The sequence below is a fragment of the Homo sapiens genome, chromosome 8 (assembly GCF_000001405.40).
Source record: "Homo sapiens chromosome 8, GRCh38.p14 Primary Assembly".
Classification (NCBI taxonomy): Eukaryota; Metazoa; Chordata; class Mammalia; order Primates; family Hominidae; genus Homo; species Homo sapiens.
The window spans coordinates 119,855,940-119,883,135 of record NC_000008.11 but is presented as its reverse complement, the minus strand read 5'-3'; the positions used below and the strand labels follow the sequence as shown (position 1 = coordinate 119,883,135).

At 43.2% G+C, this 27,196-nt stretch overlaps 1 protein-coding gene, 1 long non-coding RNA gene and 1 pseudogene across 5 annotated transcripts in view, besides 10 other annotated features; all 3 read right to left on the bottom strand.

The window, feature by feature from the left end:
- DEPTOR (DEP domain containing MTOR interacting protein) overlaps positions 1–9,414 on the bottom strand; it is a 177,197-nt gene extending 167,783 nt beyond the window's left edge. For both annotated transcript variants that reach the window (NM_022783.4, NM_001283012.2), the window contains exon 1: positions 9,168–9,414. In NM_022783.4, the coding sequence (NP_073620.2) occupies positions 9,168–9,289 (122 nt within the window). In that variant the 5' untranslated portion in view covers positions 9,290–9,414. The remainder of the gene's footprint in view (positions 1–9,167) is intronic.
- Positions 8,551–9,051: an enhancer, noted in NCBI's record as "H3K27ac hESC enhancer chr8:120886325-120886825 (GRCh37/hg19 assembly coordinates)". NCBI's record gives its function as "activates a minimal SCP1, AML or CMV promoter by ChIP-STARR-seq in naive and primed H9 embryonic stem cells {active_cell/tissue: H9 hESC(naive and primed)}" and the evidence as "EXISTENCE:reporter gene assay evidence [ECO:0000049][PMID:30033119]".
- Positions 8,677–8,726: an enhancer, noted in NCBI's record as "active region_27847". NCBI's record gives its function as "activates an Ori minimal core promoter by ATAC-STARR-seq in GM12878 lymphoblastoid cells {active_cell/tissue: GM12878}" and the evidence as "EXISTENCE:reporter gene assay evidence [ECO:0000049][PMID:35858748]".
- Positions 8,817–8,916: an enhancer, noted in NCBI's record as "active region_27846". NCBI's record gives its function as "activates an Ori minimal core promoter by ATAC-STARR-seq in GM12878 lymphoblastoid cells {active_cell/tissue: GM12878}" and the evidence as "EXISTENCE:reporter gene assay evidence [ECO:0000049][PMID:35858748]".
- Positions 9,052–9,552: an enhancer, noted in NCBI's record as "H3K27ac hESC enhancer chr8:120885824-120886324 (GRCh37/hg19 assembly coordinates)". NCBI's record gives its function as "activates a minimal SCP1, AML or CMV promoter by ChIP-STARR-seq in primed H9 embryonic stem cells {active_cell/tissue: H9 hESC(primed)}" and the evidence as "EXISTENCE:reporter gene assay evidence [ECO:0000049][PMID:30033119]".
- Positions 9,052–9,587: a biological region, named in NCBI's record as "Sharpr-MPRA regulatory region 238".
- Positions 9,117–9,376: an enhancer, noted in NCBI's record as "active region_27845". NCBI's record gives its function as "activates an Ori minimal core promoter by ATAC-STARR-seq in GM12878 lymphoblastoid cells {active_cell/tissue: GM12878}" and the evidence as "EXISTENCE:reporter gene assay evidence [ECO:0000049][PMID:35858748]".
- Positions 9,293–9,587: an enhancer, noted in NCBI's record as "tiled region #238; HepG2 Activating DNase unmatched - State 1:Tss, and K562 Activating DNase unmatched - State 1:Tss". NCBI's record gives its function as "activates a minimal TATA promoter and a strong SV40 promoter by Sharpr-MPRA in HepG2 and K562 cells {active_cell/tissue: HepG2 | K562}" and the evidence as "EXISTENCE:reporter gene assay evidence [ECO:0000049][PMID:27701403]".
- Positions 9,396–9,568: a silencer, noted in NCBI's record as "fragment chr8:120885808-120885980 (GRCh37/hg19 assembly coordinates)". NCBI's record gives its function as "represses an EF-1alpha promoter that drives an FKBP-Casp9 reporter gene in an ReSE screen in K562 erythroleukemia cells {active_cell/tissue: K562}" and the evidence as "EXISTENCE:reporter gene assay evidence [ECO:0000049][PMID:32094911]".
- Positions 14,223–27,196, bottom strand: part of LOC105375728 (uncharacterized) — a 36,035-nt gene continuing 23,061 nt past the window's right edge. For all 3 annotated transcript variants that reach the window (XR_007061078.1, XR_928590.3, XR_007061079.1), the window contains one exon: positions 14,223–14,473. This is a non-coding gene — a long non-coding RNA (uncharacterized LOC105375728). The remainder of the gene's footprint in view (positions 14,474–27,196) is intronic.
- Positions 15,006–15,507: an enhancer, noted in NCBI's record as "H3K4me1 hESC enhancer chr8:120879869-120880370 (GRCh37/hg19 assembly coordinates)". NCBI's record gives its function as "activates a minimal SCP1, AML or CMV promoter by ChIP-STARR-seq in naive H9 embryonic stem cells {active_cell/tissue: H9 hESC(naive)}" and the evidence as "EXISTENCE:reporter gene assay evidence [ECO:0000049][PMID:30033119]".
- RN7SL396P (RNA, 7SL, cytoplasmic 396, pseudogene) lies at positions 20,276–20,471 on the bottom strand (annotated as a pseudogene).
- Positions 27,091–27,150: a silencer, noted in NCBI's record as "silent region_19483". NCBI's record gives its function as "represses an Ori minimal core promoter by ATAC-STARR-seq in GM12878 lymphoblastoid cells {active_cell/tissue: GM12878}" and the evidence as "EXISTENCE:reporter gene assay evidence [ECO:0000049][PMID:35858748]".

Genomic DNA, 27,196 nt, shown 5'->3' with positions numbered 1-27,196 from the left:
CAACCTCACAAATATTTGTAAAGCTACCAAAAAGTGATTCTCTGCAGCCAGCCCTGATGAAAATAGCTCAAGTTGATCCTGAAGGTACCACCTTGCAAGCATCCTATCTGTCCCACTAAATCCTCTCCCCAACTCCATCTTCACGATGTCCCCCGTGTATCTAATGATACATAGAAACAATCACTGCCATAAACTTCTAAGTTTAGTTAAGGCTGATAATACTAGAACAAGGATCTCAGATTTGGTACCCACCTCTCCTTGGTAGATAATGGAACACGGAAAAGTATAATTACCGTGTAGAAAGTAGGACCGATTGTTCTTTCCTTTGTCATTTCCTAATCACTAAACTCATGGAAACCAACCATTTAAGAGCCACCAATGAAGGGGAAATGAACTCCTGACTCAAATGAAAGCTAGAAAGAACAGGACAAGAAGCTGGTGCTGATGGCCTCTAATATCAGCACTTTGGGAGGCTGAGGTGGGAGGATTGCTGGAGTCCAGGAGTTTGAGATCAGCCTGCGCAACATGGCAAGACCCCATCTCTACAAAAAATACAAAAATTAGCCAGGTGTGGTGGTACATGCCTGAGTCTCAGATACTTGAGTCTCAGATACTTGGGAGGTTGAGGTGGAAGGATCACAAGAGCCCAGGACCCAGAGGTTGAAGTGAGCCAGGATCATGCCACTGCACCTGGGCAACAAGAGTGAGACACTGTCTAAAAAAATAAAAATAAAAATAAATAATAAAAAAAGATATAAAACAATGTATTTTTTTCTAAAATTTAAAAAATTAAAAAAGAAATAACACAACAGGACAGAAGAATGACCTTCCTTCACCTTGCATTCTCTTCTCTTGAGGTTTAACTTATTTTCAGTTTTATTGATTCCAAAGCTGATGGAAGCCATAACTTATATCAGCAATGGCCTTTTAGAAAAGTAATTACAAGGCCGAGCGCAGTGGCTCATCCCTGTAATCCCAGCATTTTGGGAGGCCAAGGCGGGTAGAAAACCTGAGGTCAGGAGTTCGAGACAAGCCTGGCCAACGTGGAGAAACCTCATCTCTACTAAAAATTAAAAAATTAGCCGGGCGTGGTGGCGCTTGCCTGTAATCCCAGCTACTCAGGACGCTGAGGCGGGACAATCACTCGAACCTGGGAGGCAGAGGTTGCAGTGAGCCGCGATTGCACCACTGCACACCACCTGGGTGACAGAGTGAGACCCTATCTCAAAAATAAATAAATAAATAAATAAATAAAAATAGAATAAACATTCTACATGAATTAGGCTCTTGACCATTGACTCCAAATACAGGGACTCTTCATTTCCTAAAGCCCTTCTTTTTCAAAAATCTGTATAGGCAGTAATTTACTGACTCCAGGATATCTCTCTGCTGTTTAGGAGAAGAAAATTTCAATCCTAGCTTCTAAGGGACACCCCCTAAGATATTCTTATACCAACCGTAAAGTTCCTTAGGTGCCTACTTGAATAAAATGAATTATTTCTCCTTGTCCTGTTGTGTATGCTCTAAATTCCTTATCTCATATTCGATTTATTAGAGCTTGATCTTTGGTTCAAAGGCCCATTTTACCTTTTTTTTTTTTATTATTTTTTTTGAGACAGAGTCTCACTGTGTCTCCCAGGCTGGAGTTCAGTGGTGCCATCTCAGCTCACTGCAACCTCTGCCTTCCTGGTTCAAGCGATTCTCCTGCCTCAGCCTCCAGAGTAGCTGGGACTGCAAGCACGCACCACCACCCCCAGCTAATTTTTTTGTAATTTTAGCAGAGACGGGATTTCACTATGTTGGCCAGGCTGGTCTGGAACTTCTGACCTCAAGTGATCTGCCCACCTCGGCCTCCCAGAGTGCCAGGATTACAGGCCTGACCCACCACACCTGGCCTGTTTTTACCTTTTTTCTGAAAACTGCATTAACATTTGCAAAGCAAATTTAGGAAAGCAATTCAATATTTATTAAAGACGTTTTTATTAAAAAGACAATAGTAAGCCTGTAAGAGCCTGAAAGGCAGCCTGTTATAGAAAAAAGGCAAAGGTGACAAACAATTTGAAAGAACTGCATTTCCTCCAACTTAGCTAACTAAATTCATAGCCTAGTAAGTTGCTTTTGGGAAGTCAGCCTTAGTGATTGGATAAGATTGTTGTAATCAGCACACTTCATCTTGGTAGAGGAGCAAAAGTGAAATTAATTATGAATTAATGAAATTAAATGAATTAAAGTGAAATTAATGATTGATGCATTTTCTCTCTATTTAAGCATTCCCTTTATTATACATTCTGAATTCTCTTCCTTACCCTACTCCCATTCTCACAGATGGCAAAATAGAACTGCAATTTATCTTCCCATTAAAATGGTTACAAATTCTGAATCAGTGGAGTCCAAATTCACTTTTTAAAACCACATGTCAGAAAGATTGAGTTTAATATTTAGTAGAGAAAGTGACAATCCTACCTTGTCAAAATATAAATACTCACAGGAATAAATCAGATTTTCCCCAACAGAATGGAAAAGCTACTTGTCTACTTTTTTATTTACCAAAGTTGTCACACTGCAATGTGATATTCTCATATACATGATTCTGTTTTAAAGTTGTTTTAGTGTTTCATTTTTTTTAACCCTCTAAGTCACTAGTTGGGAACAGTATTGTAGCTTATCATAGTGCTTAAGAGCAGAAACACTCAACTCTACCGTAACTTTCTGGCTGAATAATCTATGGCCTGTTGGTTTAAATGATCTTTTCCTCAATTTTTTAATCTACAAAATAAAAGTAATAAAGGTATCTGCTACATAGAGTTGCTATAAAGATTAAAGGCATTACCATACATAAAGTGCTTAGAAGAGTCCTTACCAGGTAATAGGTGCCATGTAAGTGTTATTGTTATTATTATAATTGCTACCATTGCTAGAAAGAGAATAGTGATATTGTTGGGCTTCTTTATTTTATTTTATTTTATTTTATTTTATTTTATTTTATTTTATTTTGAGACGGAGTCCCGCTCTGTCACCCAGGCTGGAGTGCAGTGGCGCAATCTCGGCTCACTGCAACCTCTGCCATCTGGGTTCAAGCAATTTTTCTGCCTCAGCCTCCCAAGTAGCTGGGACTATAGGTGCCTGCCACCGTGCCCAGCTAATTTTTGTATTTTTAGTAGAGACGAGGTTTCACCATCTTGGCCAGGCTGGTCTTGAATGCCTGACCTCGTGATCCACTCGCCTCAGCCTACCAAAGTCCTGGGATTACAGGCATGAGCCACCATGCCCGGCTAATTTTGTATTTTTAGTAGAGACAGGGTTTCTCCATGTTGGTCAGGCTGGTCTTGAACTCCCAACCTCAGGTGATCCACCCACCTCGGCCTCCCAAAGTGCTGGTTACAGGCATGAGTCCCCGTGCCCGGCCCTTGATTATTTATTTATTTAAGACAGAATCTTGCTCTGTCACCCAGGCTGGAGTGTCATGGTGCAATCTCAGCTCACTGCAACCTCTGCCTCCTGGGTTCAAGCTATTCTTGTGCCTCGCCTCCTGAGTAGATGGGACTATAGGCATGTACCACCACGCACAGATAATTTTTGTATTTTTATTAGAGACAGGGTTTCTCCATGTTGTACAGGCTGGTCTGGAACTCCTGATCTCAGGTGATCCACCCACCTTAGCCTCCCAAAGTGCTGGGATTAATAGGCGTGAGCCACTGCACTCAGCCCTGTTTTTGATTATTATGAATAGTACTGCTATGAACATCTGTGTACAAGTTTTTATGTAGACATGTTTTCTCATTTCTCCTGGGTATATACCTAAAAGCAGAATTTCTAGGTCATATGATAACTCTATGTTTAATATTTGAGGAGCTGCCAAATATTTTTCCAAAGGGGCTGTACCATTTTACATTCCCACCAAGTAGTGTGTAGGGGTTCTAATTTCTCCACAATTTCTCCACATCCTCACAAACACTTGTGACTGTCTTTTTTGTTATACCCATCCTGGAGGCTGTGAAGTAGTATCCAAATGCATTTTTTTTTTTGAGACCGAGTTTTGCTCTTGTTGCCCAGGCTGGAGTGCATTGGCGCGATCTCGGCTCACTACAACCTCTGCCTCCCAGGTTCAAGCAATTCTCCTGCCTTAGACTCTCGAGTAGCTGACATTACAGGCATGTGCCACCACGCCTGGCTAATTTTGTATTTTTAGTAGAGATGGGGTTTCTCCATGTTGGTAAGGCTGGTCTTGAACTCCCGATCTCAGGTGATCCGCCCGCCTCAGCCTCCCAAAGTGCTGGGATTACAGGTGTTAAGCCACCGCGCCTGGCCCCAAATGCATCTTTAAGATGCAAAAATTGAAATACATTGGGAGAAGGAAGTAAAATCTTTTATGACAAGGGAAAAACATGAAGAAAATTAAACAAAGGGTCCTGCAGTTAAGCTGAAAAAGGAAGCAAGAGATATTTTTAGGTCTGTTAGTTAATTTCTTGTCCTTATACAACCAACCGCCCTTTAAAAAGTGTGAGGATTGGCCGGGCATGGTGGCTCACGCCTATAATCACAGCACTTTGGGAGGCCGAGGCGGGCGGATCACGAGGTCAAGAGATCGAGACCATTCTGGCCAACATGGTGAAACGCTGTCTCTACTAAAAGCACACACACAAAAAAAATTAACTGGGTGTGGTGGCACGCACCTGTAATCCCACCTACTCGGGAGGCTGAGGCAGGAGAATCGCTTGAACCTGGGAGGCGAAGGTTGCAGTAAGCCGAGATAGTGCCACCGCACTCCAGCCTGATGACAAAGTGAAGATGCTGTCTTAAAAAAAAAAAAAAAGTGTCAGGATTGGCCAGGTGCAGCTCATGCCTGTAATCTCAGCACTTTGGGAGGCTGAGGTGAGCGGATCACCTGAGGTCGGGAGTTGGAGACCAGCCTGACCAACATGGAGAAACCTCGTCTCTTCTAAAAATAAATAACTAAATGAATAAATAAAATACAAAATTAGCCACAATCTCCGCCTCCTGGGTTGAAGTGATTCTTGTGCTTCAAGAAAAATAAATTTAAAAAATAGAAAATAGGGCGTGCCTGTAATCCCAGCTACTTGGGACGTTGAGGCAGGAGAATCTCTTGAACCCGGAGGCAGAGGTTGCGGTGAGCCGAGATCGCGCCATTGCACTCCAGCCTGGGCAACAAGAGTGAAACTCCATCTCAAAAAACAAAACACAAACAAAAAAAGAAGCGTCAGGATTGTGGAGCCAGCCCCCAATTTCACATCTGGAGGTTACAATAGTCATAACAACACTCTTCTTGCTTTATCGATTTATTTTACAAAGTTTCTTCCCATGCTGTACCCTATTTGATCCACTACCACAAATCTTATGTGGGAAGATATTATTCCCATTCTGTAGGGAAGGATGCTTAGGACTAGAGAGGTTAAGTGACTTGCTCAAGAGGGCATAGCTACAATTAAAGAAAGAAAAAGAAATTGATAGAACTGGGCCTAGAGGCTAAATTTTTTATTTCAAATCCCAGTCCTTGGTTTCCTCTTATCACCTCTACCTCATCTCTGATGACCCAGAAAGTAATGCAAAGTGAGAGAAAGCAGAGGGGAACTGAGAGTGTGTGAAGCACTTAGAGGCAGGAGGCCTGGACATTGCAAAGCACTTACAATCCTGCAGTGAGAGGGGAGCTACAGACAGAAGAACTCTTTGTGAAAGTGACAAGAATGACTGAACTTCCAACCCTCCAATAACTAGGAAACCAGGCATACGACCGCTTTAATTCCTAAATTCTGACTATTATACTGCTCTGTACTAACAGAAGTATATTGAATACTTACGATATTCATTTAACTACTTACTGAGTAGTTACTATGTGCTAGTTACAGTGCCAAAACAGTTGAGATAAAAAACAGCAATGATTAAAATTTTCCAAAGTAGAATTAAGTGGCTAACATTTCCTAAGCCTTTTACATGTAGCATCTCATTTAATCCTCACAGAGCTCCTGAAGAAGTGTCATCAGAATAACATTTCGTAGAAGAGGAAACTGAGACACAGAGAGGCTAAACATATTGTCCTAAAGTTACAGAATAAATGGTGGAGGCAGAATAAGAACCCAGGCAGCCTAGTTCTATATCCTGCGCTCTTCACCACCACCCAATCCTTCCTGCCCAATCTTGCTTGGCTGGAAGTCACATGCAGTGATGCAGAGAGACCAATAATACTAATTAATTCCAGGAACTATTTGTTGAATGCTCATTAATACATGAAGCCCAGGGGCAAATTCTCGCAACTCCATGAAATACATTCATCTTCATTGTCTTTTTCAAATGTGGAAACAGAGACTCAGAGAAGTGAATTTACTTGTCCAAGGTCACAGAACTCTACCTTAGCTAATGTTGACCTGGTGCTTACTACATATCTATCAGAAACTACCCTAAGCGCAACTCATCTAATCCTCATAGTAACACTATGAGGTAAATTCCATTATTACCCATCCTTCTTCTTCTTTTTTTTTTTTTGAGATGGAGGCTCACTCTGTTGCCCAGGCTGGAGTGCAGTGGCACTGTCTTGGCTCACTGCAACCTCTGCCTCCCAGGTTCAAGCAATCCTCTCACCTCAGCCTCCCAAGTAGCTAGGATTACAAGCATGCACCACCACACCCGGCTAATTCTTGTATTTTTAGTAGAGATGAGGTTTCACCATGTTGGTCAGGCTGGTCTTGAACTCCAGACCTCAAGGGATCCGCCTGCCTTGGTCTCCCAAAGGGCCAGGATTACGGGCATAATCACTTGTCCAAGGTCCCACACTAGTAAGTAGCAAAGCCAAGATTCAGTCTAGCTTAAAGTCTTCCTTGAAACAACTTAATGCTGACACTTGCCTACATAATGGTGGAGCAGTCATTCAAACCCAGGTCTAATTCCTGCATGACAAGGATGGCTCTCAAAACTGCTGCAGTGCAGAGAGGCGCTAGAAAAGTGGGGAATAACAAGTGCTCTGGGGACTGCAAGGAAGAGGCATTTAAACTGCATCTTGAAGGAAAAAGTACTTGCTGGACAAAAAGAGCCATCATGCAATTTAATATTTGTAAAATAAATGAAAAATAAGTAACCCTATCCAACAGAAGACTTTTAAAAAGATGGCCCAGTAATGAAGAGCAGAGAAATTAAACTTTCTTTCCCACAGTAGGCTTTAAAGGGACTGAAGCCTGTTATCACTCGCCTGCTACAGCTTGGGCTTCTAAAGCCTACAAACTCTCCTTACAATTCCCCCATTTTACCTGTCCCAAAACTGGACAAGTCTTACAGGTTAGTTCAGGTTCTGCACCTTATCAACCAAATTGTTTTGCCTATCCACCCTGTGGTGCCAAACCTGTACACTCTTTTGTCCTCAATACCTTCCTCCACAACTCACTATTCCATTCTTGATCTTAAAGATGCCTTTTTCACTATTCCCCTGCACCCCTCGTCCCAGCCTCTCTTTGCTTTTACCTGGACTGACCCTGACACCCATCAGTCCCAGCAGCTTACCTGGGCTGTACTGCCGCAAGTCTTCAGGAACAGCCCTCATTACTTCAGCCAAGCCCTTTCTCATGATTTACTTTCTTTCTACCCCTCTGCTTCTCACCTTATTCAATATATTGATGACCTTCTACTTTGTAGCCTCTCCTTTGAATCTTCTCAGCAAGACACCCTCCTGCTCCTTCAACATTTATTCTCCAAGGGATATCAGGTCTCTTCTTCCTTACTCTACTCTTTACAACAGGGCTTTATGAAGTCACCCCCGCCTTCTTGGACTGCACCTCACAAACTTACACCACTATCCATCATCTACCCAACTCCTATAAAACAACCCCTTCCCCATCTCCCTTTGCTGACTCCGTTTTTAGACTCAGTCCACCTGCACCCAGGTGATTAAAAAGCTTTATTGCTCACACAAAACTTGTTCGGTGGTCTCTTCACACGGGCACCGCGTGACAGGTTTCATTAGAAAGTACTTTTGATGAAGGAAAAAAAGTTTTTATTCCCTTTAATTCTGACCACGTATTTTTAAAAATCAACAAAGAATCGATAGGTGCAATTTGCCTTTTGTAACATTAAAAATCAGTTAATTCTGACTTCCAATATTGGTCTCCTTCAGAGACCTTTGCAAGACACTCTTTCAGGTCCTGAAACACAGACATTTAGAAACCAAAACAAGCTGGGGAATTCAGGCTAAGAACTAGAAGTAACAGGGGCCCGCGTACAAGTTGTGGCTCAAACGCTGCAGAGCTGGGTTTTCTTTTTCCTGGCAAACTGATTTATAACCACACGAAGGGCAGCTGCAGAACCAGTTAGACCATAAGTACTATTCCCAAACAGCCCTAGAGGAAGGACCATACAGGGATGGGAATGGCAAGGGGGATTCTGGGGGTCGTCCTTGTTCCCAAGTTCCGTGAGACGCCGCAAGTCTTAATTCTTGCAGGAGCCAGGGTCCCCATGGATCCTGCTGCCCAAAACGTGCGAGCCCGGGGAGTTGGCACAGCCTCAAGGCAGCCCGACAAGGTGCCTCCACGCCCCCTTGCGGACCCAAATGATTGAGGACGATGTGCCAATTAACTGATAGGTGCAGGGTTTCAGAAATGCTCTCTCAGTTTAACCTCACAAAAAGCCCTTGAATCAGCCCTGTTTTACAGATGTAAAACACCGAGGCTCAGGGGAGTGAAGGAAGACTTGTCAGCAAAAAGGAAAACCTAGTGAAGACTATCGTTGGTCTTGCTCCTTTTATCAAGGAGTAGAGGGGCTGGGGTCGCCTCGGGACCCCACAGCGACCCCTCTTGCTCTCTTCGCGGATGAGGCGCAGGCTGTCAGCCGGGAGGCCTGGCGGCGTCCAGGTACACGGGAAGACGGACAGCGCGGTGGGTGGCAGGGACTTTGCCCGGCACAGGACTGCAGCAGCCAGGCTAGGGCGCAGCGCGCACCACCCGCTCGTCGGCTTCTGCCAGGCAGCCCCGCTTGGCGAGCGAGTCCTCAGGGACCGAGGCTGCAGCAGCTAAGCGCGGGCGCACCGAGGACCATCCACGCGCCCGCAGCCGTTCCGGCGCCCCACGCGAGTCGCAAGCCACGAGCCAGGGAGCGCGTGCGCGCAGGACTGCAGCGGGCACGCGTTGGCAGTGCCATCGTGAGCTCACCCGCTGTGTCTCTTGCCTTACCGTAGCTGTTCCCCGGTGACCAAGACCTCAGCCATGCGCTCCAGCTCCCTTTGCTGCGCCCCGCCACTCCCGCTGGTGCTGCTGTCACTGCCAGCACTGCCAGTGCTGCCGCCCTCCTCCATGGTTTTAGGGCCGTGCGGCTACCACTGGCTCCGCTGTCCGCCGAGGGTTTGGGTGCTCGGATCAGTCTGCCCTCACAGACGCTTCCCGCGCCATCTTTGTTCGGGGCAGCTCCGCTGCTCTGACTGGATTGGCTGGAGAGGGAATCCCTATGGGTAGGCAGACGCGCTGGGCTAGTCCGGCCCCAGAAACTTGAGCTTGGGGGCGTGGCTAGAGCCCCTCATGGTCGGGGGGCGGGGCCGATGGAGGAAAATATAAACATCTGGGCGGGGCGCTGCTACTGAGCTGTGTGTGCTGCTGGAGGCTGAATTTGGTGAGCTCTCTTTACCCACAAAGCTCATGCTGTAGAATCCTGGGGACAGGCCTGGAGGTTATTAGTGTGAAGGCGTTTTTATTGTACGTTCCACACCCCAAGTTGCCAGAGAGCAAAACATAATTCAACAATCTGGCCAAATGGTCAACAGTGAAGGTTATACATGTCATTGAAGGGCATGGAGAAATTAAACATTCTTCTCTCCCCAACCTCTCTCTCCAAAGACGACTTGTTTGCCTTATGTTGTAATCAATAAGGAACGCCGGCCTAGGAATCAGGCTGACCTGGGATCCAGCTCCGCTCCTGTGATGTCCTATTTAAATGTGTTTAATCCTCCCTTACAAAATAAAAATAATTGCGGCTACCACTTTTGACATCTGCTGCATTAAAGATACTTCAGGTATGGTATTACCTCGTTTAATTATTACAATAATTCATAAAATAGGTATTGGTGTTCGTTTTGCATTAGAATGCAGGCTTGGAGAGGTGAAGTTACTTGTCTAAGGCAAGCAAATAATAAGTATAAGAAGAGCCGGGCACCGTGGCTCATGCCTGTAATCCCAGCACTTTGGGAGGCCGAGGCGGGCAGATCACCTGAGGTCAGGAGTTCCAGACCAGCCTGACCAACATGAAGAAACCCCGTCTCTACTAAAAATACAAAATTAGCCGGGCGTGGTGGTGCATGCCTGTAATCCTAGCTACTTCGGAGGCTGAGGCAGGAGAATCGCTCGAACCCGGGAGGCGGAGGTTGCTGTAAGCCGAGTTCGGGTGAGCGGAGTTAGTGCCATTGCATTCCAGCCTGGGCAACAAGAGCGAGACTCCGTCTCAAATCATCATAATAATAATAAGAAGAAATCTAACCGAGGCAATTCTGGCTTCAAAGTTATGCTTTGAAAAGACTGAAAGACTGCCTCTTAAAATGGGGATACAATGGTATTGTCTATCCGTAAAAGATTATGAAAAGAAATTTGATTAGTACCAAATAAATGTTCTGATTTTCTGTTTCATGCAGAGTCGGAGTTGGTCTGCAGGAAGGCGAAGTAATGTTTATGGCAGTATTCATGTGTGTTGAGCATTTATTCTGTGCTTTACATTGTGCCAAACACTTTATCCTCACAAAACCCTGGAGTTTGGTATTATTTTCAACTTACAAATGAGAAAGCTTAAGTATAGAAAGATGAAGTAATCTGCCTAGAAAGTTAGGTAGCCCTTAAACCCTGGCCATACTCAGCCCCACTCCAGAAAGAGAATAGTTGCCCAACTCCCTTGAACATCCGGGAGCAGACCAGCTCTGAATCTGCATGAGACAGATGTTAGGTGACTCTTTTGCCAAAAGAAATTATTTAAGTTTCTTAATTTTTTAAATAGGCCACAATAGACATGTAGACCAAGGCAGACATAGTTCTAGGTGACTGTGATTCTAAGAGCCTTATTCTGCATAAAATACATAAATCATTCAACAGAAGTCCCAGAGTTAATGAGATTAAAAGGTGTCTGTTGCTCATGTTTTAATCTTATAACTACTAAATAGAATATCAAGAGTTTGCACGGGCTTCTCAGTCAAACATGCAATTTCTATCTCAATTCTGTCGTTTGCTAATTTTGCAACCTTATGCTAGTTATTTCTCTTGGCCTCCCTTTCCTATCGATAAAACAGGAATAATAATTTCTACTTCATAGGGATGTTGCGTGGCTTAAATGAAATAATGTAATCCCAGTTCTTTGGGAAGTTAGGGTGGGAGGACTGCTTGAGGCCAAGAGTTCAATGCCAGCCTGGGCAACATAGCAAGACCCTGTCTCTACAAAAAAAAAACAAAATTAATTACCCAGGTATGGTTGTGCATACCTGTAGTCTCAGCTACTTGAGAGGCTGAGGTGGAAGGATCACTTGAGCCCAGGAATTCAAGGTTACAGTGAGCTATGATTGCACCACCGCACTCCAGTGTGTGTATCAGAGCAAGACCCTGACACTTAAAAAAAAGAAAAAATAAATAACATTAAAATTTCTATTATGTAAAGTTTCCAAGATCCATGTCAGTAACACAAATTTGTAACTTTAAGATAAAAAAGCACCTTAACATAAAGAAAAGAAAAGAAAATTCGAGTTAGGAAAATACCTGATGCTATTGTTCCAGTGACAGTGAGAGAGCATGATTTATTTTTCTTGCCTGATAAGAGGTGTGTGTAGGGGGCGGTGTGTGTATAGGTAGGTATATTTGAACAGGAAATGGGAACTGGTTTGCTGTTATTGTTTTAACCTTTTGACATATGACACACACCATGCTCCACTGGGTAAGAAGACAGATCCTTTTTCCTAACTTAGGGAAAAATTGGTGAGCCACATCCTGAGGACATGTCCATGACTGTGAGCCCAGGAGCAACTGGTTCCAGATAAACTGTAATTTTTTAGATATTGATCAAGGAGAAAAGGGCACTCATATGGCAACTAATTCAGCATAAATATTTCAGAAAAACAGAATTCTGACAAACCTTGGTTTGATTCTTGGCCATGTTTGGGCAAGCTCCTTATCGTCTCTGAATTTGCTGTCCCTCTTTTGTAAAATTTAGATAATAACACCAATCTCATTGGGTTATTGGGAGGATTAAATAAAATTTACTGAAAGCACTTATTACAGGTGGGAACTATTAAGTGTGAGCTTTCTCTTCTAGCTCTCCACACTTTTCTCTTCTAGCTCTCCACACTTACCTCTTTCATGCCTTCTGTCTGTTTTGGTGCTTTGGGGCCAGTGCTTCTCAAAGGTTTGGCGGGGAAGATCCACCTGTGTGTGTGTGTGTATGCTTTCAACCCATTGAAGCCTGATACTTTGATGAAATACAATAATACAAATGAAGCCAGGTGCAGTGGCTCACGTCTATCATCCCAGAACTTTTGGAGGGTGAGGTGGGTGGATCACTTGAGGCCAGGAGTTGAAGACCAGCCTGGCCAACATGGCGAAACCCTGTCTCTACTAAAAATACAAAAATTAGCCGGGTGTGTTGGCAGGTGCCTGTAATCCCAGCTACTTGGGAGGCTGAGGTGGGAGAATTGCTTGAACCTGGGAGGCGGAGGCTGCAGTGAGCCAAGATCGTGCCCAGTTAGCAAACCACACTTGGAGTAGCACTGGTGTGATAAACACTTCCTAAAGGTCAGCAGCAATATAAAAAGGAGATGAACTTGAATTGATAAAATGCATGAAAGAATACTGTCAGCTATGAAGATTAATATGTTAGCTGTCATGATTATTGTTGCCTTTTAATATGCATTGGTATTATTCTTGCCTGATTTTAATTAATTAATTAATTAATTATTTTTTGAGACAGAGTCTCCTCTATCAGCCAGGCTGGAGTGCAGTGGCATGATCTTGGCTCACTGCAGCTTCTGCCTCCCGGGTTCCAGCAATTCTCCTGCCTCAGCCTTCTGGGTGGCTGGGATTACAGGCATGTGCCACCAGGCCTGGCTAATTTTTTTGTATTTTTAGTAGAGACAGGGATCTCACCATGTTGGTCAGGCTGGTCTTGAACTCCTGACCTCAGGTGACCTTCCCACCAGCCTCCCAAAGTGCTAGGATTATAGGCATGAGCCACTGTGCCGGGCCATCCTGCCTGATTTTAAAGGCTAACTGAAATGCCACCTTCTCTGGGCTATTTTCCTGCACTTCTCCAAGCAGTTTATTGCTATTTATCGCCCAAGGGGTTCACCTTGCCCACTGCCTAGAAAGAGCCGATTCATCAAGACAGGGGAATTGCAATAGAGAAAGAGTAATTCACGCAGAGTCGGCTGTGCTGGAGACCAGAGGTTTTTTGTTGTTGCTGTTTGTTTGTTTGTTTTTAATTATACTTTAAGTTCTGGAATACACGTGCAGAACGTGCAGGTTTGTCACATAGGTATACATGTGCCATGGTGGTTCACTGCACCCATTAACTGGTCATCTACATTAGGTATTTCTCCTAATGCTATTCCTCCCCAGCCCCCCACCCACTGACAGGCCCTGGTGTTTGATGTTCCCCTTCCCGGGTCCATGCGTTTTCATTGTTCAACTCCCTCTTATGAGTGAGAACATGTGGTGTTTGGTTTTCTGTTCCTGTGTTAGTTTGCTGAAAATGATGGTTTCCAGCTTCATCCATGTCCCTGCAAAGGACAAGAACTCATCCTTTTTTATGGCTGCATAGTGTTCTGTAGTGTATATGTGCCACATTTTCTTTATCCAGTCTATCATTGATGGGCATTTGGGTTGGTTCCAAGGCTTTGCTATCGTGAATAGTGCTGCAATAAACATACGTGCGCATGTGTCTTTATAGTGGAATGATTTATAATCCTTTGGGTATATACCCAGTAATGGGATTGCTGGGTCAAATGGTAGTATGCAGCCAACAGACATATGAGGAAAAGCTCATCATCGCTGGTCATTAGACAAATGCAAATCAAAACCACAATGAGATACCATCTTACACCAGTTAGAATAGCGGTCATTAAAAAGTCTGGAAACAACACATGCTGGAGAGGATGTGGAGAAATAGGAACACTTTTTGTTTTGTTTTGTTTTGTTTTTATTTATACTGTTGGTGGGAGTGTAAATTAGTTCAACCATTGTGGCAGACAGTGTGGCGATTCCTCAAGGATCTAGAACCAGAAGACCAGAGTTTTATTATTACTCAAATCAGTCTCCCCAAGCACTGGGTGAGCAGTGTTTCAGGACAACTTGGTGGGTGGGGGAGCCAGTGAGCCAGGAGTGCTGATTGGTCAGGGATGAAATCATGGAGAGTCGGAGCTGTCTCCTTGCGCTGAGTCAGTTCCTGGGTCGGGGGGGCCCCCAGATCAGATGAGCCAATTAATCGATCTGGGTGGTGCCAGCTGATCCATCAAGTTCAGGCTCTGCAAAATATCACAAGCACTGATCTTAGGAGCAGTTTAGGGAGGGTCGGAATCTTGTAGCCTCCAGCTGCATAATCCCTAGACTATAATTTCTAATCTTGTGGCTAATGTTAGTCCTACAGAGGCAATCTAGTCCCCAGGCAAGAAGGAGGTCTGCTTTGCGAAGGGGCTGTTATCGTCTTTGGTTTAAACTATAAACTAAGTTTCTCCCCAAATTATTTCAGCCAATGCCCAGGAATGAACAAGGACAGCTTGGATGTTAGAAGCAAGACAGAGCTGGTTAAGTTAGAAGTCTTTCGCTGTCTCAGTCATAATGTTACAAAAGCAGTTTCAGTCTTTCCTACAAATGTACATCTTTTTCTTCTTCTTCTTTGAGACTGAGTTTCACTCTTGTCGCCCAGGTTGGAGTGCAATGGTGCAATCTTGGCACACTGCAACCTCCGCCTGCTGAGTTCAAGCGATTCTCCTGCCTCAGCCTCCCGAGTAGCTGGGATTACAGGCGTGTGCCACCATGTCCGGCTAATTTTTGTATTTTTAGTAGAGACAAGGTTTCACCATGTGGCCAGACGGGTCTTGAACTACTGACTTCAGGTGATCCACCCACCTCGGCCTCCCAAAGTGCTGGGATTACAGGCGTGAGCCACAGCGCTCGGCCCAAATGTACATCTTCTTACAGAAGATTTAAATTGTTCTTAACCATTAATGGAAGTCCTGATTCTTTAGCTACCACAATTTTTATTCTCTTTGTGAATGGAAGATTGATAATTTAGCAATATTCTGTGCAGATCTTTCTGTTTGTAGATCTTTTAAAAATAAATGTAAAAAGCCGGGCACAGCGGCTCACACCTGTAATCCCAGCACTTTGGGAGGCCAAGGTAGGTGGATCACCTGAGGTCGGGAGTTCAAGACCAGCCTGGCCAACATGGTGAAACCTGTCTCTAATAAAAATACAAAAATTAGCCGGGTATGGTGGCACACACCTGTAATCCCAGCTACTCCAGAGGCTGAGGCAGGAGAATCGCTGGAACCCAGGAGGCAGAGATTGCAGTGAGCCCAGATCGCACCACTGCACTCCAGTCTGAGCGACAGAGGGAGACTCTGTTTCTAAATAAATAAATAAATAAATAAATGTAAAAACAGAGAAAAGTACAATTTCCATGGCTTTTGTCATTCACACCCATTTTTAATATTTTTGTCATATTTGAGTCATCTTTTTGTAGTGATAGAAATAAAACATTACAAATAAAACTGAAATCCTCTTGTCCTTCATTTCCAACCCTGCTCACCTCCCAGGAAGTCTTACTAATCTTAACCTTGGTTCCCGCATGGTCTTGAGTACCTTGATATATGCTGCCACCTAGTGATTGCTTTCGCAATGACACGAAATGCTTGTAGGTCTCCTACAGAAAAAGGGTCACCCCCCACGAGGGTTTGTTGGGAACTTTGGGGTGGAGGCTGTGGTGTGTCATATTATTGGGAATGCTACTGGGTTTAGTGATCAAAGACTAGGAATGCTAGATATTCTCACTTGTTTGGGACAACAACTCACAAAAAAATTGGGTTGTTCCAAATCCTGAATGTTTTTCTTATGAGGTATTTTTGTCACAATTTTAGTAGGTAGGCTGGGCTCGGTAACTCAGACCTGTAATCCCAGCACTTTGGGAGCCTGAGGAGGGTGGATCGCCTGAGCTTAGGAGTTTGAGTCCAGCCTGGCCAACATGGTGAAACCTCAAGAAAAAATACAAAAAATTAGCCGGGTGTGGTGGTGCATGCCTGTGGTCCCAGCTACTTGGAAGGCTGAGTGGGAGGATTACTTGAGCCTGGGAGGCGGAGGTTGCAGTGAGCTGAGATCGCACCACTGCACTCTAACCTGGGTGACAGAGTGAGACCCCGTCTCAAAAAAAAAAAAAAAAAAAAATTAGCGTATAATCCTCAATGGTCAGGAATGTAACTATTGTGTACATTGAGAAAAGATTGTTCTATTTAAAATATTACTAAGAAAGGTTTATCACTGCATAAAATTACTCCTCTTTTGTGCCATTTGTGTGGCATACACACCTCCAGTATAACACAACTTCAGTCTGCATTTGGAGCTCTCACATGTGGGGTAATTCTAGGTGTGTGTTGAATAGGAATATATTACTTAGCCAAAGTTTAAAATGCCAAGTATAAAAAAGAATTGATGGTAATATTCAGCTAAATATTGTCTTAATTTTCTTATTCTAAAATTATTCATTATGAGTAGTTGTAAACATCTGACTACAACTATCTCATTAGGCCTTCTACTGTAATAATTTAAATACTGAAATATACATTATTACACATAATTTCTCTTTTTTAATACTCTATTAAGGGCATTATATTGATTTTTCAAATTACGTACACAGCAAGGTTATCTATTAATTTAATGACAACAAAAGAAAATGAGAGTTACATATCTGTTATTTATTTATTTATTTATTTATTTATTTATTTATTGAGACATAATCTCTCTCTGTCACCCAGGCTGTAGTGCAGTCCCACAATCTTGGCTCGCTGCAAACTCCGCCTACTGGGTTCAAGCGATTCTTGTGCCTCAGGCTCCCAAGTAGCTGGGATTACAGGCTCCCACCACTACACCCGGCTGATTTTTGTATTTTTAGTAGAGACAGGGTTTCACCATGTTTGCCAGTCTGGTCTTGCACTCCTGACCTCAGGTGATCTGCCCACCTCAGCCTCCCAAAGTGCTGGGATTACAGGCATGAGCTACTGCACCCGGCCACATATCTGTCATTTTTAAAGGAGACATTGAATTAGATGGGATTGATAATTTTTTAGGTGGAATAACAATAAGGTTATATTTATTGAGCTCTTGCTATGTGTCATGTTCAAAAAGTATTACATTTATATCTCAAAATAACCCTGTGAGTTGGCTATTTTCCTTCCTATTTTCAGATGAAGAAACTGAGGCCCAGAGAGGACTAGGCAAGTCTTCTGTAGTAGAGTAAATTATAGAGGTTGGGTTTGAACCTAGCCACTCTGGCTTTAGAGGCCCCGCTGGAAGTTCCTCCATTCTACTGCCTCTCCATAGAGACAGATCACTGAACCCCAAGCTCTTCCCACAGGCCAGTCGCTCTGTTCTATGTGCTTTACTGGCCTCATCACAACCCTGTGATGTAGGTGTTACTACCTCCAGGCTGCCCAGCCACTGAGAGCCCTGACTGTCTTCACTATTGGCTGTTTCAGACCATGAATGTGATGGTAACATCAACTTCACAGGATTGAATGAGAAATTCGAAGGAGCTTTGCAAGTGCTGTACATGGTATTAGTTCCATCCCCCTATGGGCCTGGATAATCAGCTAGTGTTTTATAACTACATCAAATAAAGGGGAGCCAGGCACAGTGGTAAGCTACTTGGGAGGTTGAGGTGGGAGGATCACTTAAGCCAGGAATTCCAGGCCATCCTGGGCAACACAGTGAGACTCCATCTCAAAAAAAAAAAAAAAAAAAAAAAGGAGGAAGGGAAATGATGGCGGTTCTCTGAGATCAACCTGCTATGACTCCTGCACTGTCATACTCCTCAGTTAGCATCATATTATACGCTAACCATCAGTTAGCATCATATTATACGCTAACCATCAGTTAGCATACTCCAATACAGCATGGAATAGATTTTGTTTCTTGAGTATATGTCTTCTCTCTCCTCCTAAATTATAAATAAGCATGGCACCTTTGTCATCCTCCTTTCTCTCTTTGTGGGGTCCAGCCCAGTTCTAGGCACAGAAAATGTATTTATTCAGTGCCTTGCAACATTAAAATATTATTTTGTTCTCAAATGAAAAATACCATTGATGAAGAAGTTATCAAACATCTTTACTTTTGTCCATCACAATATATGACCTGGAAAATCATTGAGCTTGATATAAATATGTGTGCTTACTGGAAAGTTTTGCTTGATAAAGGGCCACAAGAGTTCTCTCAACAGAGGCACTGAAAACAAAAGGTCAAAACTTTGCAGGTTGTCATAATAAAAAGTCTTAATACCCCAAAACAAATACAAAAACAGTATTACAAGTATAACAGTTGGAAGTAATGCTGTCTTTATTTTATTTAATCCCAGCACTTTGGGAGACCAAGACGGGCAGATCACCTGAAGTCAGGAGTTCAAGACCAGCCTGGCCAATATGGTGAAACCTGTCTCTACTAAAAATACAAAAATTAGCCGGGCATGGTGGCAGGCACCTGTAATCCCAGCTACTTGGGACGCTGAGGAAGGAGAATTGCTTGAGCCCAGGAGGCGGAGGTTGCAGCGAGCCGAGGTTGCGCCACTGCACTCCAGCCTGTGTGACAGAGCGAGACCCTGTCTCCAAAAAAAAATAAATAAATAAAAGAAAGATAACTCTCCAATACTTCAGTTACATCTCCACATTTGTGGGACGTAACTAGAGCAGATCTTAGAGGAAAATTAATAGTTTAAAGTATTTATATTAGAAAAGAAAGGTCTAACACAATGATACGAATCTAGAAAAAGAAGAGTAAAGCAAACACAAAGTAAACAGAAATTAGTATTTCATAAATATTCCTTCTCTTTCTCTTACTTAGGGCAGGAGAAAACTTTTGGGGGTGATGAGAATGTGCGCAATATTAAAAACCAAATATGCAGAATATTCTCATCACCCCCCAAAAGTTTTCTCCTGCCTCTAAGAAAGAGAAGGTATCAGTGTGTACGTGTGCCAAAAGATTTAATTGTATACTTTAAACAGATGCAGTTTATTTTACTTAATTTATACCTCAAAAAGGTTGATTAAAAAAACAAAGGAGGCCTGAGGTAAAAGTGTGTTCTGTAAATTTAGAGAGTGGCAAGGTATGGGTTATGGGGTGTGGGGCAATGGAGATTGCGTAAGGTCTTATTGGCCTTGGTAAGGACTTTGGTTTTTATTCTAAAGGAGATCAGAATCCATTGAAGCATTTTGAACAGAGAAATGCCAAGATTCTGGCTTACATTATTGCAGGGACTGCATGAGGTAGCATATAGAGGGTACTCAGTTGTGTATGTTTGTTTGTTTGTTTGTTTTGAGACGGAGTCTTGCTCTGTCGCCCAGGCTGGAGTGCAGTGGCCCGATCTCCGCTCACTGCAAACTCTGCCTCCTGGGTTCACGCCATTCTCCTGCCTCAGCCTCCCGACTAGCTGGGACTACAGGCTCCCGCCACCGCGCCCGGCTAATTTTTTTTTTTTTTTTTTTTTGTATTTTAAGTTGAGACGGTTTCACCATGTTAGCCAGGATGGTCTCGATCTCCTGACCTCGTGATCTGTCTGCCTCAGCCTCCCAAAGTGCTGGGATTACAGGCGTGAGTCACCGCGCCCGGCCTATACAGGGTACTCAGTTAAGTGCTTAACTCAGTAAATAATTGAATAAATATTCCTTCACTTTCCTTTTCTAAGGCAGTGGAAGAAAAAAAAGGCAAAGCAGGCTGCTCTATAAAACATTAAATAATACTGCCATCTAGTGGGGTAAAAGCCTGATTGTTTTATAAGCAAAATGTTGGAAGTTTAACAAAAGATGTGAAATTAAAATTTAAGCTACTCTATTTTTCATAGAATGAAATGAATCTTGCTGTAAACCAGAACTTGCTCATTTGAAACAAAGTAATACAGTTTCCAAGACACTGCTTTATTCTATTTCTCCAATTGCTTGCAATTTTTTCCTCTGGCAGATACTTCTTTCAAGGCTTCCACCTCAAATGTTAGTGAGGCTTTAACTTCAGCCCTTTTATCAGTTGCACATCACACTGTCCCTGGATGATCTCAATCATAGGCACTCTCCGACCTGGGCCAGTTCACCCCTCCTTAGGCAACCTGGTGGTCCCCCGCTCCCGGGAGGTCACCATATTGATGCCGAACTTAATGCGGACACCCGATCGCTATAGCGCACTACAGCCCAGAACTCCTGGACTCAAGCGATCCTCCAGCCTCAGCCTCCTGAGTAGCTGGGACTACAGGCACGCACCACAGCGCCCAGGAATCATAGGCACTCTCATAACTACAATATATGTACACTTTAAAGCTTTATATTTTAGCTTCTGGCAAGACCTTAATTCAAACTCCAAGTTCACTGTTGTCCATGCTATCTCCAAATTATTATTATTATTATTATTATTATTATTATTATTATTATTATTATTTTGAAATAGGGGCTGGGTGTGGTGGCTCGTGCCTGTAATCCCACCACTTTGGGATGCCGAGGCGGGTGGATCACCTGAGGTCAGGAGTTCAAGACCAGCCTGGCCAACATGGTGAAACCCTATCTCTACTAAAAATACAAAAAAAATTAGCCGGGCATGGTGGCAGACACCTGTAATCCCAGCTACTTGGGAGGCTGAGGCAAGGGAATCACTTGAACCTAGGAGGCGGAGGTTGCAGTGAGTCGAGATCATGCCACTGCACTCCAGCCTGGGCGACGGAGCAAGACTCCATCTCAAAAAATAAATAAATAAAATAAAAAAAGAAATAGGGTCTCACTCTGTTGCTCAAGATGGAGTGTAGTGGTGCAATCATAGCTCATTGCAGTCTCAAGCACCTGGGATCAAGTGATCCTCCTGCCTTAGCCTCCTGAGTAGCTGGGACTGCAGGCATGTGCCACCACAACAACGAATTTTTATTGTATTTAAAATTTTTTTTTTGTAGAGATGGGGATCTCACTACGTTTTTCAGGCTGGTCTCAAACTCCTGGCCTCAAGCAGTCTTCCTGCCTGGGCCTCCCAAAGTGCTGGCATTACAGGCAAGAACCACCGTGGCCAGCCCTAATTACTTCTTAAATCCAGCCACCTTCATCTCTCATTTGGCCTCTTGGCAGGTCTCCTTGCTTCTATTCTTGTCCCCCTTTAATCTGTGTCACAAAATAGAATGATCAACTCTTTCCTTCTCCTTTTCCCTCCCTTCTTCTCTTTCCTTTTTTCTTTCTCTTTATTCATGTGTGATTTATTACCTGCTCATTTGAAGTTATTGTCTGTACATTGGGTTTTGTAAAGCTGAGGAAAATATTTTTAATGTTTTTAATTGCACATATTTAATGCATGAATGTGTTCTCTGTGTTAAGATATATAAAGATAAATAAGAAATCCCTTTTTATCTACCCTTCTACTCCTCTCCTTAGAGGTAAAGCATGGTTATAATTCATTCATTCATTCATTCATTCAGCAAATTGTTCAACAAATATATATGATGATCTACTACATGCTGGGCATTTGCTTAATGATAACCAAAATTTTATCTTATTGAAGTCTATAGTCTGACAAAAAAGACATTAAGTAATCACACAAATAAATATAAAATTGCAATTTACTTAAAACTAAAAACGAGAAGATTTTCTACCATGTGAGCCTATATTAGAGAGATTTGACCTGATCAGGGAGATCAGAGAAAGATTTCTGAGAAGCAACTACTGATTTAGAGTTGAGTGTTCCAATACAGTAGCCACTAGCCACAGGTGGATGTTTAAATTTAAATTAAATAAAATTGAATACAATTTAAAATTCAGTTTCTCATTCTCACTGTCCATATTTCAAGCACTCAAAAGCCATATGGGGCTAGTAGTTACCACTTCACCTGTGGAGCTATAGAACATTTCCAACATCTCAGTAAATTCTATCAGACAGTGTTATTGGCTAGAGAATGAATAGGTGTTACCCAGATAAAGAACATAGGGAAGAATACGCCAGACAGAGCACTGTATGGCAGGAGGCAATATGATATAAATAAAAACCAAAAAAAAAAAGAAAAAGAAAAGAAAGCCAGTGTGCCCAATGCTACAAAGAAACATTGAAGAGGAAAAGGGAAAGTAGTAGATGAGTTCGGTTAGGGTACATATGTTCCAAACTGCTGGAGGAAAAAAATCAAACAAAAGCAATCCAATGAAAGATAATGAAGAAAATAAGCAACAAAACAAATATGGCTATAAATAAAGTAAAAAAGGTGGGAGAGATGAGGTCAAACATAACAGATACAAAAAACGTAAACCATGCTAAACTGTCTTAGGAAAGATACTACATTCATCACAGCAGTTGCAGGGGCCAGACAGGTGAATTAAATGCAGGTATAAGAGGAACCACTAACTCTGCATTCTTTAAATCTTTAAGGGTAGCATTAATTTTTGCCATTACCTCTGTTATGTGATGCTGTTTTTAATTTCTGCATGGAGTCAATTTCAGTGCTTCTACTTGGCCTTTTCTACTATAATAATTCTTTTTTATTTTTGTACAGGGAGTCTCCCTGTTGCTCAGGCTGGTCCTGAACTCCTGGGCTCAGGCAATTCTTCTGCCTTGGCCTCCTAATGTGTTGGGAATACAGGCGTGAGCTACCATTACTAGGCGTGGCCTAGTAATTCTTACTCTAGGAGTGAAAGACCTAAGGAGAGGCTGCCAAATACTAAATATGTCATTCCAAATGGGACCGACATTTGGGAAGCTGGGAAATGATCTCTGATCTCTGATTGACTCTTTTCTAAGAATTATCTCCCATCACTGTGAAGATAGTGTATTTACCATAAAGTCATGTGGTTTTTGCTCTATTCTGCCTCCTGGGGTGCTAACTCTTCTATTTGACGATTTTAGATGTCTCGATTTTGTGCTATTGGATGTACACAAACGATGATTCTCTCTTCAGCTTTATATCTGAGAAGCCCTGTGCACCAGCTGTTCTGTGTTCTCTCCCTAACTCCAGAGATTGTCTGGAAGGAGTAAGGCCATACCTTGAATAGGGAGGTTTGGTGGTAGTTTGTCTTCTGGGAGCTGATGCTCCCCAGCGCTGCATGATTCATTAGCTGCAAGGTGGGGAGGGGGCGCGTTTCTCAGCCTATCCAAGACCATTTCCCACACTGCTTTAGCTTACAAAGTTACTGCTGGCTTATTATAGCTGGACACAAGGGAACTACCAGCTTAGCTACTCAATCAACCTGATACTTGCCCTAGAGCCATCACTCACTTCTTGTACCTAGGCTTTGAGTTTCCCTGATCTTTATTCACTTTACCCAGATGTACTAATTGTTAACATTTTGCCTCACTTTTTCTATCATTTTCTTTATCTTGCTAAAACCAAATATCTGATATTGAAACTTACATGTCTATATAAGAAAATATAAAAAGTAGATTTCCAAAATATAGAACAGGCCAGGCACTCTAGCTCATGCCTGTAATCCCTGCACTTAGGGGAGGCTGAGGCAGGTGGATCACTTGAGTCGCAGAGTTCGAGACCAGCCTGGCCAACATGGCAAAACCCCATCTCTACAAAAAAATACAAAAATTAGCCAGGCATGGTGGTTCCCGTGCCTGTAGTCCCAGCTACTTAGGAGGCTGAGGTGAAAAGATAGCTTGAGCCTGGGAGGCAGAAGTTACAGTGAGCTGAGATGGAGCCACTGCACTCAAGCCTGGGCAACAGAGTGAGACCCTGTCTGAAAAGAAAGAAAGAAAAAGAAAAGAAATAAAATAAGGAAAGAAAGAAAAAAAAATCTGGGATGGGGTAGCGGTGAGGTGATCTTATCAAAGAAATCATATAATAAAACTTCCCAGAACTGAAGAATAATATAAGTTTCCATATTGAGAGAGCCTGGCACAGACCTGAAGAGAACTATGAAGAAACAATTAGCAACTCCAGCCTACTGCTGCTATCCAGAAATATGAGTCCCATGTTGATAGATATCCTGATTTTTTTTAAAAGACGAAAAACGAAAATGTTAATGAAAACTTTTCTAATTTATATGTGGGCTGGGCACGGTGACTCACACCTGTAATCCCAGCACTTTAGGAGGCCAAGGTGGGCAGATCACCATCACCTGAGGTCAGGAGTTCGGGACCAGCCTGGCCAACATGGCGAAAACCCGTCTTTACTAAACGTACAAACATTAGCTGGGCATGGGGGCACACACCTGTAATTCCAGCTACTCGGGAGGCTGAGGCATGAGAATCGCTTGAACCCAGAAGGCAGAAGTGAGCCGAGATCGTGCCACTGCACTCCAGCCTGGGTGACAGAGCAAGACTCCATTTCAAATAATAATAATAATAATAATAATAATAATAATAATAATAATGTGTAAATGATGGCTGAAATTAAACATGCCTGGCCACACAAGCACGAAAGTAGGGAAGGACGGGGCCATCTGTAGGTTTGGCTATCATGTGTGTGAAGAGTACTCAGGGCCGTGGAGTCTGGAAAGGCAGAACGGACACAAAGCACAGAAAACCAGAAACCAGCAGAGGTTTGAGTATGAGCTTTGACAGGAGAGGGAGTGGTTGATGATGACCTGTGAGCATAGTGTAATGTCACTAGAGAACTTCATGTTCAGAAAATTAATCTGACTGTGGTATACAGATGGAGGGGCAGTGGGAAGGGGGATGAAAAGCAGGAAAATCTGTTAGAAAGTCACAGTAATAAGAATAAGGACCGAAAGCAAGGCCACATTTTCAGTTTTTGGAATGTCTGGAAGTGACTGTGTTCCTTTTTTTTTTTTTTTTTTTTGAGACAAGAGTCTCACTCTGGAGTGCAGTGGCATGATCTCCGCTCACTTCAACCTCCGCCTCCTGGGTTCAAGCGATTGTCCTGTCTCAGCCTCCAGAGTAGCTGGGATTACAGGCGCCTGCCACCATGCCCGGCTAATTTTTTTGTACTTTTAGTAGAGACGGGGTTTCGCCATGTTGGCCAGGCTGGTCTCGAACTCCTGACCTCAGGTGATCTGCCCACCTTGGCCTCCCAAAGTGTCGGCATTACAGGCGTGAGCCACTGCACCTGGCCGTCACTGTGCTCTTTATTGAATAAAAAAGAAGAGAAGAGAGGAAAAGAAAAGGAAAAAAGTTCATACATGATTCTATAATATGAACTAAGATTTAGTAAATAAAATTCTCATTTCATGCCATGAAACACAATATATGAGCAATATAATCAAGAGTACAGTGTCCAAGAGAACAGAATCAATTTTAGCTGATTCTGTTCTCATGAACAGAACTTTTGAAATTTATTATAACTGTTCATTTTTTTACCTGATAAAGAATATTTTTTTCCTGCTACCAGATGAATGATTAAGCCAGCTTCAATCGTTTTTTGAAAAGGTACAGAAAATTTCTTACTTTAGAAAAACATATTAACATAATTTTAAAGAATGAATTAATAAAAACTATCATCATTTTGTCTTATGAGAGGAACACAGGTCCAGCTCCCTGACAGAATATCAAATTAATGGCAATAATTTCATACCATTAATTGGAAATTAAATTCATAATGATTAATACATAAAAACAAAAAGAACTGCTGCCATTTATTAAGCAGCCATGCATTTTAGAATGTACATCTTAAGAATGTAGGTCTTATGTGCTTTTTTATCGATAAGGAAGTTGTACTCAGAGAAATTAGGTAAATTGCCTTAGGTCACAAAGTTCTGAAGAGAGTTGGGATTCGCAGCCATGCCTGTCTGATGTAAATGTCAGGGTTCTAGTTGACACTGCTTCTAGTTGTAGGGAATGTTTCCCATTTAATAGAGCAACTACAATGGTTGATTCCCTTCAATAATAACTTCTTATCAGGCAACCACTGTCACATTCAGGATTTCATTCCACCGAATTCCTATGCATTCAAATGTAAAAGAGGCTAGTGAAGAAGTAGGTCACATGAACCAATCTTTCCACCACCAACGAAAGCACTGCCCAGACTCCTGGGATGCCCTACTCTGGTATTTTCGTATCATTTTACCCAAGAATTGAAAAAAATGTCTGCTCAGATCCTTTGAATTCAACACCTTACCCACCACTTTCTTTCACTTCAAGCAAGGTCTGATTTGCACTAACTAGTAGGAGGTCACCATCTCTTAAGTGATTCCTCCCAGACTATTTTAGCTCTCAGGGACAGCCAGGGCCCTCAACGATTCCCTAAGCATCTCTGGGAAAGTTTACACATTACGCTGTTACAAGCAATTCATGTATGTGTGCATAGTGAAAACCTTTTCTCTTAAAACTCTTAATACTGAAGTTCCCCAAACCTTTGGAAAATGTACAAGTCACAGATGCTCCTGTGACTTGTTTTTCCCTTCGGGTGCGTCCTCAACCTTGCTTAAATAAACCTCTATTGAACGAGACCTGCATCAGTCACTTTTCGGTTAACACTAGGTATTCAACGAATAGACTAGTCCCGCCGTTGTCTCCAGATATGATGGTGCCCTGACCCAAAGAAGCGAGATACTCCTTCCCAGGGCCTCGCTCCCGAGCATGGGTTATTTGCACAAAACCCCGCAGGAAGCTTTTAGAGCCACAGTCGGCTAGGCTGGAGTCAGACTCTGTTACCTCCTGACTCTGCCATCACGAGCAAGGAGCCTGCTTCCTCATTGGCAAAAGGGAATGACCAAGGCACCACCTTACAGGGTTGTGGCAACGGGCTCATGGAATTATACATGCCAAGTGGTTATCACAGGGCCCGCCACTGGCGGAAGGTGAGACAATGTGGACGGCGAGGAAATGGGAGCATCGGCTGGAAACCAGGGACGGAGATCGGGGATGGGGGGCGGGCAAGGGGACAGCGGAAAGGGTGGGCGAGGGATCCGTGTCCCAACCCGCCGAGTCGCAGCTCTGCCCCTGCGAGCTTCCGCCGAGACCGCCCCCCGGGAAGCCGCGTTTCCTTCCTGCAGTCGCGGTCCGGCGTGGGGCACGGAGGGGCTCGCGCTCCCAGAAGCCGGCAGGCCTTCCCGCGGGCGGGCCCGCAGCGCGCT